Here is a 17,509-nt window from a genome sequence, read left to right on the forward strand (position 1 = left end):
AAACCTCCAGCCCTCAACCTACTCTCCTTCTCAGTGAGGGCCATCGCCCACCCAGACACCTCAGAAGGAAGCCTGGCCATCACCTGGATTCTGCTGACTTGTCCCAAACATCTCTCGAATCCATCTACTTCTCCCCCCTCACCCCCTCTCCTGCCATTACCTGAGATTGGGCAGTACCTTCTCTCACCTGGACAATGTCAGCAACCTGGGCTTCCTTCCCCCGGCTCGCTCTCCCCATGCCCACCCATTCTCCCTACGATGTAGACTGGCCTTTCTATTAGGCAGTGGTGAGAGATGAGACTGGAGAGATACTCAAACAGCTCGGTGATCCCCACTGCCTCTGGAAACTGTCCTCAACACCATGTGCTCCGTGCCCCCACCCTGCTCCCCTCTCTATCTCTTACCACTGCCTACTCGACAGCCCTCCTCCCACTCCTACCCAGCACCTCCTCACCTCCAGGCTGCTCCACTCTGCCTGACACTTAGATCACTGACTCCAGCACACAGTCCCAGCTCCAGGCCGCCTCGTCTGGAGGCCTTCCTTGACCCTCCCGGGCTGGGCCAGGAACTCCCGCTATGCAGTCTCCTCCCGCCTGCCTGCTCTTCTTGGGGTCTCTCCCAGAGGACCCTGGCCCCTTCTCAGGGGAGGATCTGGGTATTTCTTCCACTACTCCTGGCATCTGGCAGAGCAACTGATCTAGGAAGTGCTTTGTGGGTAAATGTTAGCTAAGCAAGGGTAGGTTTCTTGGCTTCCCCTGGATTGCCCAGTGTGGGGCCCTGATGGCAGCAGCAATCTGGTGGCCTCGGCCTGGGGCTGTTGCTTTCTGGAATATTCTCCTCCCAGCTCCTCGCCTCCCTGCCTCTTCATCTTCTCCCCTTTGGCTTTAATGCTTGTAAGACCATCCAGGATAATTAAGAGAGAGGAGTTTTATGCTGTTTATGGGACTTTGATCAAAGATTTTAATTAACCTACCTTGCTTTAAGCCTTTAAAAGTTCATTCCCCAGGGCTGACCGTTTGATAATGGAATTAATGCTTCTAGGCAGAGTGGGGGAGTGGGGGAAGCAGGAATCGGGAGGGCTGACAAGGAGGGCCTAGCGATTGTCTCATTAACCCTTCCCCAGATGGATAGATTTCGGCTCAACATAAAAGATTTGTCTCAGTCTGAGCTATTCACCTATGGAATGATGGGGTTGGAGTGGTGGTGAGACCCCCATCGCTGGAGGTATGCTAGCAGATACTAGACAGTCTCCTAGGAGGGAGGTTAGTCAGTCATCGCCTCATTGATCAGACGAGGTCACTTTTAGGGACCTGCCAGACCTACGAGTCATTCTCTCTCTCCCTATGCCATGCTGGGGAGGGGCAGGGTACACAGTCTGACTCATACCTGGAGCTTTGGGTTGAGGTCAAACCAGTAGTTCTAATAAGAAGACAAAGACTAAAGGCAGCAACTCCATGAAGCTAACATACCACTTGCAAAAAAATCACTCTTCCAACCAGCCTTCATGGAAGCTGCGCAGAGGGAATACTTATCTGTGCAGACACCACCTCATGGGTTCAGACCTGTGCATCTGCTTTAGAAGCCCCGAACTAGTTGTCACTGGGGAGGCAGTCCTGCAGGTAGGGGTTCCTGAGCAGACATGCACCAGACACCCCTGGAAAGAGACTTCCTGGAGCACAGGCCCTGCCTGTTCTCAGATGCCAGTGCCTTCCGGTAACAAGCACCTCCTTTAGCTCAGGTGAGGATCTTGGTGAGACAGTCTGCTGTTTTGAACTTGGGGGGAAAAGGGACTGCAGTCAGGAATGTCTGTGGTAGGTGGGGTGGGGGATGCAGGAAGGAATTAGGGTTCTTAGCTAAGATCTATTGAGTTGATTATTTTCCAGACACTGTGGCAAGTACTCTATGTGTGTTAACTCATGTAATCTGGCTGGTATTATTTTTCCCATCTAATAGATGAGGAAATCTAGGCCCTTTGAAATACGGCTCCCCAGGGGATGGAGGATGAAGGTCATAGAGTTTCTGGCCCTCTCTGGTCTGGACTCCAGCATGCTTTCCCCCAGCATTCCAGAAATTTTCCACTTACAAGAACTGGCTCATGTCTTCCCTACCATTCTTCAAGGTTTGGCTGAAATGTTGGTGCCCAGCGGCCCATGCCCCACCCAACTCCTCCCATCCTAAGCCCCTGGGAGCTTTCACTGGATTCCCAAAATACTCACTGGTACTTGTATTTTGCCAGTTATGTCCTTCTTTCTGGCGTTATAAATATCCGTTTTAATGCCCAATGCCCAGCCCTCCGGCCGCTAGACAAAGATGATTTCAAGGTGGGAAGACCATGTTTAATTCATCTTTGTCTTATTCCTCCACCCAGCATAAACCCCACATTTCACAAGTGATGTTGAATAAAATGAAAGAGGAAAAGCTCCACTTCTACATCATTAGGTTCTGAGCTGATAAGTAGAAATATTAAGGTGTCAATCAACAAGCATTTCCTGAGTCCTGGTCAAACGGGCAAGGTTCCCCTGTCCCCGTCGCAGGGTGTGCATTGGGGGTGTGGCTCACCTCTTCAGTGCCTCACTGCTGAAATTCTAGGGGAGCATACAGACAGGCAGGCTGTGGGGGCTCTGACCCCATGGTAGTGTCTAGGGGTGAGTGTTCACAGCTGAAGCCCCAGTGGGCGTGTGTTACAGGGTGCTCTTTTAGTTTGCCGTCTATAGGCGGCTTGTGTTAACCAACTCAATTAGAGCCCCTGCTTTATCACAAGGACAGAGAGATTTCTGTATCCCACAGTTTCTTGCCTTGGTATACCACAAGCATCGGATCACACGTGGGCTTGGAGAATGAGTGCAAGGTTTTATTGAGAGGAAGTAGCTCTCAGCAGATGAAGGAGCCAGAAGGGAGATGGTTTTCCCCTGGAGTCGGGCCAGGTGGACGCCCCACTCTTCTCGGACTGCTCCATCCCAGCTCCGCATTGTTTTGCTGGTCAATGGCCGGCCAGGGTGCTGGTGCCTGACCGTGTGTTCTTCCACTGGTGTGCTCCTCTCCATGTCCTCTCAAGGACATCCAGCTGCTTGTCTCTTCCACCCATGTGCTCCTCTCAACGTCTGCCTGTCTGCCCGATAGGGTCTTAGGTTTTTTTTTTTTTTTTTGAGGTGGAGTTTTGCTTTTGTTGCCCAGGCTGGAGTGCAATGGTGCGATCTCGGTTCACCTCAATCTCCACCTCCCAGGTTCAAGCAATTCTCCTGCTTCAGCCTGGTCAGGCTGGTCTTGAACTCCCCACTTCAGGTGATCTTCCCGCCTCGACCTCCCAAAGTGCTGGGATTACAGGCATGAGCCACCACGTGCCCACCTGGGTCTCAGGTTTTTATAGGCCCAGGATGGGGGCGTGGTAGGCCAGGATGGTCTTGGGAAATGCAACATTTGGGCAGGAAATGCCTGTCCTTACCTAGGTCTGTGAGGGTGGAGCCCTAGCCAGGGACCACGCCCTCCTCTACGCAGCACTTCCCTTCCCCACTTCCGTATTATTTAAAGGGACCGTGCTCTTCCCTTCCCAGCACTTCCCTGTCACTGGAAACTATGTATCACCTGGGGGTGGGGAGGAGATGGGGTTGCTTGTCATCATAAGCCCTTCTACAGCCTTTGACTTTTTTTTTTTTTGAGACAAGGTCTCTCTCTGTCACCCAGGCTGGAGTGAGGTGGCATGATCATAGCTCACTGCAGCCTCAAACTCCTGGGTTCAAGCAATCTTCCCACCTCAGCCTCCTGTGTGGATGGGACCACAGGCATGCATCACCACACCTGGCTAATTTTTTTTTTTTTTTTCTGGGTAGACACAGGGTCTCACTATATTTCCCAGGCTGGTCTCAAACTCCTAGCCTCAAGTGATGCTTCTACCTCAGCCTCCAAAAGCACTGGGATTACAGGCATTAGTTACTGTGCCCAGCCTGAATTTTTAAATTATGTATATATATAACTTTGCTTTAAAATGCATATTTAACAGTGAAATAAATGGCATTTTCTTTCATGTCTTAAAATCACCAACCAGAGGGCAAAAAGCCAAATTCCAAGTGGCTAAGCGTGACCCTTATAAGGGAACTGTCAGTTTCCCATTGGGTGGCCTAGGTTCAGAGGGAAGCCCCTGTTTACCCCAATTATGTCCAATGTCTCCAATGATACAGAGGAAAAGGAGCAATGTTTCTTTTTCTTTTCTTTTTTTTTTGAGATGGAGTCTCACTCTGTCACTCAGGGTGGGGTGCAGTGGTGTGGTCTCGGCTCACTGCAAGCTCCGCCTCCCGGGTTCACACCATTCTGCCTCAGCCTCCCGAGTAGCTGGGACTACAGGCACCTGCCACCACACCTGGCTAATTTTTTGTATTTTTAGTAGAGACAGGGTTTCATTATGTTGGCCAGGCTGGACTTGAACTCGGAGCAATGTTACTTTAGGAAGCCGTTTCTGCAGAGGCTTGTCATGGTCGTAAGATGCCAGATCTGACGAGGAGCCCCTTTCATGCCTGTGCTGTAGGAGAGGCTTGAGGGCCAGGCCTGGGGAGCATGGATTCTGTCTTGAATTCCTTTCCTGGTCCTGCTGTTGGAAAAGGCTATGCAGGGAGCGGGTTCTTGAGGCAGGTATCAGAGATGCAGGAGAAGAGGCAAGAGAGAAAGCAAGCATCTCTGTCTACATCCAGAAATTAGATGCAAGGCCTGAAGTTTTCCCATATCTCTGAGAAATTCAGGTGAGGAAAAGGCACGGTTTCCCTTTTACAAAGATAAGATACATTTAGAGTTTGATTAAGCATTGAGGGAGAACAGCTGGAGTTAGTGGGGACAGTACTTATTATAATGCCTGTTTTAAGAAATAGTCACATTTTGGGGGAACAATACCATGGATTATCTGCCATGGCCTAGAGCATCACGGATAAGAGGGCATGCTCCGGGATCAGTCTGGGCTCTGCCTCTCTTTAGCCTTGTGGCCCTAGTCAGGTTTCTTCACCTCTCTGGGCCTCAGTTTCCTCATCTGTGAAAAGGGAACAATGATAGTACCTACCTCAGAGGTTGTTGTGGGGATTAGTTGAGCTAATACATGTAGCTTATGTATTACTGTATGCTCATGTATTACTGGCATAGTAAGTGTCACATAAATGTGAGTTGCTATTATTTATGATTGCTATTACTATCACGTAGGATCTGCTGTCTGTGATGGGGAGAAGCCAGCCAGGGGTGCACATAGTCAAATCCTAAGGTGCCACCGTCACTATCACCAAAGGAGGACATAGATGACTTCTGAGGCATATCTACATTGCTCAGCCTTGTGCTGGCAGGTGGCAGGGAGGGAACCGCTGCATCTGCCACAGCCCCAAATCTAAAGTGGGAAAGGGGCTTGGGATTGCACATAGATGCCCTGAGGCTGTAAGGAATGCCGCCTTGGAGAGCTCCTTGGAAGGAAAGCTTTGGGGGAGCTGAAGCAGAGGGTCTCAAATTTAGAGTGCATCAGAATCGCTGGGAAACTCATTGAATTTCAGCTTCCCAGGTTCATGGTTATTGGGCGGGGCTGCAGCATCTGCCTTTGAAACAAACATCTCTAAGTGATTATGATGCAGTTTTCCTTAGTCTGCAGTTACCTGGGAGACACAGCACATGTAGCTTCTGAGAAATGAGCACCTGAGCTCCCTCACATGAACTGACTTCCTTCTTGGCTGAGAGAACTTCAGAGGTGCTAGGTTTTTAATCAGGGTTCCTGGCACCGTGACTCTGACCCTCAGCTGAGCCCTTGCCATGAATATAAGCTTAGTTTTTATTCTGATCACAGACAGAGCCACAGGCGGACTGGCCACAGACTGCTCTGGTCCTTGCTATATACTCATCCCTAATCCTTACCACGTACTGACCTCTACCCGTGACCTCGGCATAAATCCTGACTGTGGTCACCAGTGAAGCCCTCATCATAAACATAGACTAGCCTTTGCCTTTGACCCTTCCCCAGGCAGAGTGCCAAGCACAAGCTCAGCCAGCTGACTCTCACATGAGGGGATGTGGATGGTTCTGCGGAGCCTCCTCCTCCCCCAGGGCTGGAGACACAGCTGACAGCCCACACCCTGCTTGGTGGCCTCTGGTGGGGTTGAGGAGAGGGCTCTGGGACACAGGGACTGTGCGTGAAAGGTGACCCTAGCTCCACACGCAAGGCTGATTAACGTGTGTCATGCTTCCCTCATTCCCCAGGCGCCTTCTCCAGATCATTTCTCCTCTGATTAATTCCTCAGAACAAAGCTTGCAGCACTTATGTGGAGATTGACTGGAGGACCCTGAGGCTGTTCCCCAGTCGGCTCCTAGGCCTTTCCTGGGTGCTTGCGCTGGTGAAGTGTCTGAGGGGCAGGGAGGCCTGATGCCCAGAGCCTGGCCAGAATGCAGACAGTGTTCTGCCTCCAGGATGATGGGTTTGCTGGTTTTTTGGAGACAGTTTCCCACTGGAGCCAAATCGAGTGAGTGACATTCTGACTTAGGAGTCACTGACATACTGGGTTGAAATCTGTCAGGAGGTGAAATGGGTTCTCCTTTACAAAGATAAGATAAAAGTAGAGTTTATCTTACTGCTACCAACACCACCATTGTTATCTTTGCTATCTGCACTATGAAAAATTCTTTACTTGAGTAATTTCATTTAACACTTAAATCCCAGGATTAAAACAAATAATGAGTAACTCAGTATATACGAGTATCACTACTGACAGGAGATGACACATCGCTCCATTGAGTTCAGGACCAGGGAAGTGAATTCCTCAGTGGACTTGCAGATTTCCCATTACTATACTCTGAAACACATGAAATCCATATAATTTCCTTTGTTTTCTTGGCTACAAGGAAATTCCAGAATTTCTCAAATTGCTGTAGCTTTCTGCTGTTGAAAGTTCTCAATGTAACTCTTGTCTACCCATCTGTCATTATTTCTTGGTTCCCAATTAGTAAACAAAAAATACATAAAAATTATAGTTTTGATGGTATTTGAGTCTGCACTACAAATAAATATGTGTATAAATGAACTGAAAATGCTGAACATTATTCTAAAGTCAATGTATTGATTGTGTGTTGGTTCTTCTCCAGTATGGTGGAGTACACTGCTAATAGACTCCTAATAGACTGACCCTCCTTCAGGTAATAACCATAAACCCTGGATAAAATATAGAAATCTGAAAGGCTCTGAGTAGTGAACAAAGACAGGCAGATTGTGTAGCGTATTTGAAACTTGGAAGAAGGGACTAGCGTGAAGTGGGTTTCCCCTTTTGATGACTTTTGATTTGAAGGAAGCTACGGTCATGACACAGCACAGAGCATCGAATATTCTGATAGAAAGCCCACTCTCTTTCTGGCCTGAAGAACCAGAGGACAGAGACAGAGGACAGCTGCTAGAAAATGAGGGAATGAATTCCAGAAAGGAAATAAGCAGAGAAAAGAGCCCCAAGTTCTGTGAATAAATTCTACCCAAGTCTCTGGCTGATCCCTGAGTTGTGCATGCATGGTGCAGACCCAAAGAAGCTTGCAGCTAAGGCCAAAACACCTGAAATGAAATTAGATCTGCTGCCCACTTCAGATGAGATAGAGTTTGTAGTTTGAAACTCAACAAGTTCGATGCCTGTTAAATAAAAACATTAACACTCTTCAGAGTAATATGACAGAATCCAGAGTCTCAACAATGTAACAATCCACAAAATTAGGGTATAATCCAAAAGTATTTGACGTATGAAAAAACACAAAAATGGGACCAATTCTCAAAGGAAAAGACAGTCAATAGAGGTCATGACCTAGAGACTGAAATTATCACACAAAGGAGTTAAAGCAACTACAACTGTAGTTGTATTACAATTATGGGAAACGTGGTTATAATGGATTTAAAAAAGGGAAATCTTAACAGAAATATAGAGCCTATAGAAAAAGAACAAAATACAAATTCTAGAACTAAAAAACAATTATATAAAATAAATAATTCACTAGGTGGACTTATTAGCAGAAAGGAAGTGACGGAAGAGTCAGTGAGCTTGAAGACAGATTAATACAAATGACTAAATCTGAGGAAAAAAGAAAAAAGATGAAAAAAAAAAAGAAGAGCTTCAGGGACTTATAGGGGAAATATAAAACTCTCTAACTTATAAATAATTGGAGTCCCAAGGAGAAAACCAGATAAAAACCATGATAGGAAATAACCACACAAATCTTCCAAAGTTTGGAGATGAGGACATACATTTACAAATTCATGAATCTTAGCAAGCCTGAAAGAGAATAAATAAGAAAATCATGCCTAGACATGTCAGAATTTAACTGCTAAAATCAGTGTCAACCAGAAGGGTTTTGGATACGAGTGTATTCATTTATTCAATGAATGTTTCTTGAGCTGCGTATCAGACACTGTTGGTGTGCTATGAGCACAACCTAATGCTGGAAACTTTCGGAGAGGAATGGGGGCAATTACTGGAATTGGTTTAAGATTATGTTTTGTTCAGTAAGATCAAATTTACATGAAGAATACAAGCAGAATAAACCTGGAGTTCGGGACATGAAGACAGTTCAGGAACACCGTTCAGGAGCATCTCAGAAGAAGAGCATCGAAGACTTTGAGGGGAAGGGAGTGAGGTCTGATGGGCGAGGAGACTTTAAAAACTCAGGTGGAGCATTTATGGGCAAGGACAATGAAGTATACTCTGACTCTGGGCTGTTCTGCAGTGACTTCAGTCTAGACAAAAGTCTGGATAAAAGAGGAGGAGGGGTCATTGGATAGCTTTGTGACGGTCCCATAGGCTGCAGGAGGAGTTGTTTTGAGGCAAGTGCTAGAAAGTTACCCTTGTAGTGTTGGTGTCTTGGTGAAACAGGGTCACTCATCAATTCATCATGAAACTGAGTGAGCAAGGGGGTCTCTGTTTAGAATTAAGGATGGGCATATTACCATGGGGAGCCAGAATGGAAGATCATGAGATGAAGGCTAATCAACCAAGAAGGAGGCAGGAGGGGCGAGAAGCAGGCAGAGGCAGTCTTTCCCTCTGAGAACATTCTCCAAAAGAGGCCTCTTTGTCACAAAATATTTAAAGTTAATATGTCCATGTGACAGTAGTTAAGATAATAAAAAAAATACTTGGAGAAATATGAAAGCAAGGGACATGGATTCAACACTTGACTGAAACATCAGTGGCCAGATGATGATCTGTGTAGGGAGAAGAGATAAATGATGGTATCTTTTTCAGTATTCACCTTCCGTGGGGGGCAGAGCTCCTTTCTCAGGTTGCCTCTTGTATTAGGGTTCTCCAAAGAAACAGAACTGATAGGATGTGGGCGTAGATATCGCTATAGGTATAGATATAGATATATCTTAGTTGACAGGATTAATAGGATGTGGATACAGATTAGATATGGATGTTGGTAACCTACAGGTCACATTTGGCAGGCTTCCAAATCAATCTCCTGGGGTAGGTCTCATGATGATTCATGGCTTACATCCTGTCCCTGAGTAAAGAATCTAAAGAACATTTTTTTTTTTTTTTTTTTTTTTGAGATGGAGTCTCGCTTTGTCCGCCAGGCTGGAGTGCAGTGGCATGATCTCGGCTCACTGCAACCTCTGCCTCCCGGGTTCAAGTGATTCTCCTGCCTCAGACTCCTGAGTAGCTGGGATTACAGGTGCCCGCCACCACGCCTGGCTAATTTTTGTATTTTTTTTTAGTAGAGACAGTTTCATCACATTGGTCAGGCTGGTCTCGAACTCCTGACCTTAGGTAATCCGCCCCCCTCAGCCTCCCAAAGTGCCGGGATTACAGGTGTGAACCACCGTGCCAGGCCCCTGAGTCCCTCAAATCCTATCGTGAGTTCCTCAAACTGTCGATACATTTATTAATACATAGCTTACTGCTACTGAAAAGGACACTGATTTCTTTCTGAATCATGAAATTTTACTGATTGTCTTGTGTGCAGGACACTTTAGCATGTATATTGTAAACCGTAGCCAAGGATTGTAACCTCTGTCTTGTACCCTCCAATAAAAAAAATGACAATTCTGATATGTGGAGCTGCCTTCCTTTCTCCTAAACTTTCTTGTAAAGGCATTACAACTTGAAACAGACCTTGGAACATGCTTGAAACAGACCTTGGAACACTGACTTTGTTGGTGTGTCTTCCCAGGTTGCTCCCCACATTTGGCTTCCAGTAAGCCTTTGTCAAGCCTTCCAAAGCCTCAACAACCTTAATTTTGGTTGACAAAATGGCATAGTTGGCAGGATTTCAGAGTGACCTCCCTGGACCACCTGGAGCAGCTTCCAACCTTTGGGCAGGAACTGGCAATGAACCCATTGCATTTTTGAGCTTGGATGCACCTGCTAGGTCTACAAATGAGTTCCTCCTGAAATCAATTAACTTCTTGTCTTAGTAAAAGTTCCGGTTTATTGAATCTGATTTCCTCCTTGGCTAGGACATAGGAGGACTCTCTCAGAATGAGAGTTACTGCTACAAATTCGAGGTAAAGGTTTTTGTTGAGTACTACGGCAAGGGAGAATAGGAGCTCTGTGAATTGTTTCCTGGGAGTTTGGGGTGAGACCACCTTTCCTTAGCTTTCTCCTTTTTTGATTGCGTGAGGGCACTCTTGCTCCACTACATAGCTTGTCTCACTGAAAACAACCAAGATGGGAAGTGGGTCCTCTAGTTGCACCAGCTGGTTTTATGTGTAATCCTTATGGTCCTTGTCCTTGCCAGTACTTAGGTAAGTGGATCAACCTAACTCGGGATGGTCATAAGCAGCAACAGCCAAAATGGGAATTTGTTTGAAATGTCTAAAATGATTTATTTAAACACAAAATTGGAAAAAGCTGGCTTTAGAACCAAACAAATTGAATGGGTGACTTACTTCCAATAGCACCTAAAAGCTTTGTAACCTTCACCTGCTCCCCCTTCTTCTGCCCCTCTGATCTGAACTCACTCCTTTCTGCTTGTTCCCTTGGCTTTATACATCTCTTAGGCAGAGATTTTTGGAATTTCACAATGCTCACATTTTCTTCTCTCAAAAGGGGGAAATATATTTAAATTCGAAACAAAAGAAGCAAATGAAACAACTGCAGAATGAGAATAAAACTGCTGAGATTAAAAAATACAGATTTTTTTTAAACAATTTTTTTATCCCTAAACTTTGTTAATGAGAAACACTCTGGGATTCTCAACCGTTGAGGCAATGCCAGGTTTTCTAGGCCTCCAGCTGGCTACATATTATGGCCCATTCTTGTGCACATTTGTAAATTGATGGGCAAGTTACTTCAAGGAAAATTCAGAACTCAAATAGTCGTTATTCCAAAACCCTGCAACTCTAACGTTAGTATGTAGAATCTTCTAAGTTCTTTATTTCTCTATTTTTTTCTGCTACCTACTATGAATCTGCTGAGTTTTCTACTGGTTTTGAGATAAAACTCACTGCTACTGGTATTACTAATTCAAGGTTGCTTGGAGGTTTTGTTTTTCTTATAGAATTCAGCCAGTTCTAGATAATGGCTAAACATTAAAAATGTAACCCTAAATTCATCTGAAACCAAAGGAAAAAAAAAAGAAGTGAAAGAGATTCTTAAAAATATAAAACTGCCATGGAAACTGCTATTTCCAAAATTTTAGTTCAGAGTCTTCACTATATTATCTATTGGGGCAAACAAAGTTTATTCATGTAAACAGGTCTCAATTTTGTCAGAGATATAATTTGGATCCACTTGTCTTTTCACTCATAAATTAGCCCCAATATTCCCCAAGTTCATGTGACTTAAGTAAATCTTTAATAAATAAGATAGCTTTAAAGTTATTGGTAAAATAGAAATATCTTCATAAGCTGTGAAAATGATTAACATAGAAATAAGTTGAAATAATGCCTAGGTTTGTCAAATATCTCATTTCTCATAATCTGGGTAAACTTAAAATAAATAAATTAAATGTAAATGGGATAAAGTGCTTATACATACAATTTTCATGTACTTTGAAATATTAAAATTGTGTTAAATAATAACTACTTATTAAACGTCCGAGTTATTTCCAATTAAGAAAAAATTATGTTAGAAGGAAACATGTTTCTAAAAATTATCAAATGGTTTTCATCTATAAACTACTGATATGTGACAGATGATTCAAGATTTCTTGCCTCCTAGGTTTTCACCAAAATGTAAGGTTGCTAAGAATAAAAATTCTAAATAATATGTATAATTCTGTATATAAAGTGTACCTAAAAAACAAGATGTGTTTTTAAGAGAAAAAAACATAAAAAGGGATAACATGTTTTCTTTACTGAGAAAAAATAATTTTGTCGAATTTGGAGGTTATTTAAAAGTTGATTCAAAATGTAGATTTAGGGGAAAGATATAAGAAGATAGAAAGGAACCATTAAGTAAGACAGAGAGAGAGAGATGTGAAGAAAGTTGTGGACATAAATATATATTTTTATTAAGTAAGGTTAAAGAAAAAATAATTTTGTGTGAGAAAAAATCTTGAATAATAATTTTTTGTCCTAAAGTAAAATGACTTGGTATTTAAGAAAAAGGAAGTGTAGGATAAAGTAAGCATGTCATAAATGGTCTGTATCAGGTTCATGAAAAGAGAATTTAAGAAAGAAATTTTGTGTGTGTTTAAGTTGGCTATAATTAAAAGGAAATTATTTATAAGTCTTTCTAAAGATTGGTCCCCTATGTTGGAACAAGGTTTTCTTAAAGTATTGATTCGCTCTTAATGACATTGTAAGAGGTTTTGATTTTTAATTCTGTTATCTTTTTCTTTTTGAAACTTCTGAGATTTATATTTTGCAAGTTCAACTTTTGCTGTGCTCGGCTACATGTAATTTGCAGGTCATGTATCATTGCTTTCTGTTTTTCCTCCTCTTGAAAAGATATATCTTTTTGCTTGGCTGGGGTGATAACTCTTTCCACCTTTTCATCCATTCCTATAACTTTTTTCTCTAGTTCTAATTCTGATGTTGTGGCCTGCTGCTGAAATGTTTATCTTGAAGTTCTAGAAAAGCAATGTTTTCCTCCAGTGTAACTTGATTCCATTCTCTTGGCTTTTCTTGATGTGTCTGAATTGGTCAATGTAATTTGGAGACTTCCCATACAAAGAACCATGTATTCCCCTGATCAAGGTAATGGTTTTCTTGTTTACATTCCTCTGTGATGCAGTGTTCACTCATCACCCTGGAAACACTTCCTGTGTCTGCGTCTGTTTAAATTTAAATATCCTTTTCATCAGGCTTGGCTTCCAGGTTATCTAAATTGGCTTCTCATAAGGAGAAGCAATCACACCACAGGAGGTTATTCTTTACCTTTTTGGTAGCTGACTGAAAAACCAAAGATTTTACATTTTGTCAAGATAATTCCTGTGTTGCCTTTATTAGGTTTCTTGATTACTTAGGAAAACTGAGCTGTAAATGGGTTAAGGGTTTTATATTCATGTAACTTTCTGTATGGCCCCTGAGGTCTTTTGATTGTCACACTGGTTAAATAAATAACTATTATTTTACAAAGACAATGACCTGTAATTTTGTTTTGTTCCAATGTTTTGAAACTTCTGACATATTTGACGTATTTTCCAAGGGTGAAAATCCTAAATTAAGTCTTTTTGGATTAAATATTAGGTTGGTGCAAAAGTAATTGCAGTTTTAATTGCAGTTTTTGATCTAATATATGTATTTGGTGAATTATATGGAAAACAATGACAATAAATGATACTAATCTTCCTTCAGTTACATCTATGGGTATGTTGTTGATATAAATGTTCCAAAAAGTATGTAAATTATAAAAACCCAATATGTTATCAGTCATAATTTTGATTATGTTAATTTTTTCTAAAATTATATGGCTATGTTATTAATATGAGTATTCTAAAGATTACATAAAATTTATAAAAGTCTAATGGTCCTGATATGACACTGTCAGTCATAGTTGTGGTTGTTATCTTAAAATGCTACATGCAATGGAAATAACTAAATTTCTTTGTCAATTGGGAATTTTCATCAGATTTAACCTATGGCTATTCAAAGTTTTTGTGATCATAGCTTTTTTTTTTCTTTAAATTGAGACAGAGTCTCACCCTGTCACCCAGGGTGGAGTGCAGTGGTGCAGTCTCAGCTCTCAGCAACCTCCATCTGCCAGGTTTATGCGATTCTCCTGTTTCAGCCTCCCGAGTAGCTAGGATTATAGGCGTGCACCACCTCGCCTGGCTAATTTTTTGTATTTTTAGTAGACACAGGATTTTGCCACGTTGCCCAGGCAGGTCACGAACTCCTGAGCTCAAGTGATCCACCCGCCTCGGCCTCCCAAAGTGCTGGGATTACAGGCCAGAGCTATTGTTTTGAAATCTTCTCTAGAAACATTTGCAATCAGCTATACTCCAAAACTGCTTTCCATGGAAGAGACTCTAACAAGTCCTTTTGAATACAGATTTCCGATAACTTTAAGAATAATAGACTAAATAAAAACTTCCATAAAAAGTTGTACATCAAGATCACTAACCCAACATCAAACAAAACAAGAATTACACGGGACTGCACTCATAGAGGACTAAAATGATTTTTATGACTTTTAAAAAAATTGCTAATTCTTTTTATATTCTGTTTTCCAACGTCAAAAAGTTTTCCTTCTTTTGAGCCACCTTACAACAATTGGGTAAAGTATGCTTTTGTGAACAAAATTAAGACACTTATTTTCTCTTTACCCAAATTCTCCAGAATATGGAAACTATTCCTCAACAGCTAAGGCCAAAATAATATCACCCAGCAACTGTATGTGATTCATTATTCAGGAAAACAGCACATAGCCTTGTGTCATGTTCTGCCCCATGTTGCTAACAACCTGCCTGCAATAACAAGGTTCTTTCTTTGCATTGAGAGATGAGACTTCCTGGGAATGAGCCTTCTCAGTGCCTAGGGATAAAGAATGTCTATCACTCTAACCTAAGTGGAGATTTATCATCAGTGCTTCCACATGAAGATTTTTGATCAAAAAGGGGAAATGATAACTTACAGGTCACCTTTGGCAGGCTTCCAAATTAACCACCTGGGAAAGGTCTTATGATTCATGGCTTACATCCTGTCTCTGAGTAACAAATCTTTTTTTTTTTTTTCGAGACAGAGTCCTGCTCTGTCGCCCAGGCTGGAGTGCAGTGGCGCGATCTCGGCTCACTGCAAGCTCCATCTCCCAGGTTCACGCCATTCTCCTGCCTCAGCCTCCTGAGTAGCTGGGACTACAGGTGCCCGCCACCACGCCCGGCTAAGTTTTTGTATTTTCAGTAGAGACGGGGTTTCACCTTGTTAGCCAGGATGGTCTCGATCTCCTGACCTCATGATCCACCCGCCTCGGCCTCCCAGAGTGCTGGGATTACAGGCGTGAGCCACCGCGCCTGGCCCCTCTGAGTAACAAATCTTATTGTGAGTCCCTCAAATCTTATTGTGAGTTCCTCAAATTTTTGATGTACTGATTAATATGTAACCTATTAACACTGAAACGGACACTGATTTGTTTCTGATGCATGAAGTTTTGCTGATTGTCTTGCTGTAGGACATTTTGGCCAGTATGCTGTAAACTGTAGCCGATGATTGTAACCTCTGAATTGAACCCACCAATAAAAAAGAGCAACTCTGATATGAGAAGACCCCCTCCCTTCTCCTAAACGTTCTTATAATGGCATTCCAACTTGTAACAGACTTTGGAACACACCTAAATTCGTTGGTGTGTCTTCCCAGGTTGATGCTCACATTTGACTTCTGCTAAAGCTTTTTCAATTTATTTCAGCCTCAAGAGCCTTAATTTTGATCAACAGTGTATAGATTTATTTTAAGGAATAGGTGCATGAATAATGGAAGTTGGCAAGCCTAAAATTCACAGGATAGGCCATCCTGCTGGAGACCCAGGAAAGAGCCACAGTTGCAGTTCTTGTCTGAAACCATCTGCTGGCAGAATTCCCTCTTGCTTGGGGGAGAGCAATCTTTTGTTTTATTCAGGCTGTCAGGTGATTGGATGAGGCCCACCGACTCATGGAGGGCACTCTACCCAAAGTCCACCAATTTAAATGTCAAACTCATCCAAAAACACCCACACAGAAACATCCAGAATAATGTTTGACCAAATACCTGGGCACCATGGCCCAGCCAAGTGGACACACAAAATTAACCATCATAGCTCCCTTGATGGGGGACTGAGGTAGGCTTTTGGATCAAGGAGGGGATGTTTTACACCTCAGTGAGGCTTTGCCCTCCACTTGGGACCCTGGATTCTGTTTGTGAAAGGTCCTGATTGAAGACAGGAGAAGGAGTGGTAACCACAGACTGAGGGTGGGGGATCGCAGACTACACGGCTGTGTCCACAATATCAGGTTCCAAAGGTGGGAAATAAGAGATAACACTAGGATGGCCGGGCGTGGTGGCTCATGCCCGTAATCCCAGCACTTTGGGAGGCCGAGGGGAGCAGATCACGAGGTCAAGAGATTGAGACCATCCTGGCCAACATGGTGAAACCCCGTCTCTACAAAAAATACAAAAATTAGCTGGGCGTGGTGGCTCACGCCTGTAGTCCCAGCTACTCGGGAGGCTGAGGCAGGAGAATTGCCTGAACCTGGGAGGTGGAGTGAGCCGAGATCCTGCCACTGCACTCCAGCCTGGCAACAGAGTGAGACTCCGTCTCAAAAAAAAAAAGAAAAAAGATATTAACACTAGAACTAATGACAAATACCTGAATAGTGCCTACCATGTGCCAACAGTGTCCTAAGGACTTTGTATATTTTAATGCAATTAGTCCCCCAGTAACCTTGTGATATAGTACTCTTATTATCCCCACCGTACAAATGGTAAAAAAAAAAAAAAAAAAAAAAACTGAGGCTAAGCTGGGGTTTGAACCCAGGGAGTCTAACTCTAGAGATTTCACTCTGAATTACTGATCTATACTGAAGGGCAAGTTAGGAATGGCTTGACTAAGATTAGAGATAAAAACCAGGAGATAGAAGCATGTTCTAGTGTTAATCTCAAGTAACTATTTTTTTTTTTTCCTCTAAAAGGCTTAAGTTAACTAGTGGGTAACATTGCCTTTGGAGAAGGAGGCCTCAGGGAAACTGTTAACTCTTAGATGAGAACGAAGAATGAGTGTCTCAGGTTTTGGTGTCAGTGCTTGCTTAGAGAGAGAATGTTCAATCTTTGATTCTTCAAAACTTTGGGAATTGTGTACATGTGGCTGTGCTTGTGTGCATTCAGCAGTTTTGGCTTGTTCATTCATTGACTCACTTTTTTTTTTTTTTGATCTCCAGGAATGTGCTGGCACTGATGACACAGTAATGACCAAGGTAAACAAGGACCTGCTCTAGCCTGACAGGCTGGTAAGGAGAGACAGAAAACAAGGATCTTAGATTGTCAAAGTGCATCCTAGTTTGGCTCTATGAGAGGGACTTGGGCGCTGGTAGTTTACCTGGGAAGTGATTTCAAGAAGCACAAATTGGGCCGGGCGCGGTGACTCATGCCTCTAATCACAGCACTTTGGGAGGCTAA

General features: G+C 43.2%; 1 long non-coding RNA gene across 1 annotated transcript in view; it reads left to right on the forward strand.

Annotated features, from left to right (window-relative positions):
* LOC339166 (uncharacterized) overlaps positions 1-17,509 on the forward strand; it is a 158,463-nt gene that overhangs the window by 47,676 nt on the left and 93,278 nt on the right. The window contains exon 2 of the long non-coding RNA NR_040000.1: positions 17,272-17,307. This is a non-coding gene — a long non-coding RNA (uncharacterized LOC339166). The remainder of the gene's footprint in view (positions 1-17,271; positions 17,308-17,509) is intronic.

Source organism: Homo sapiens, chromosome 17 (genome assembly GCF_000001405.40).
Source record: "Homo sapiens chromosome 17, GRCh38.p14 Primary Assembly".
Lineage (NCBI taxonomy): Eukaryota > Metazoa > Chordata > Mammalia > Primates > Hominidae > Homo > Homo sapiens.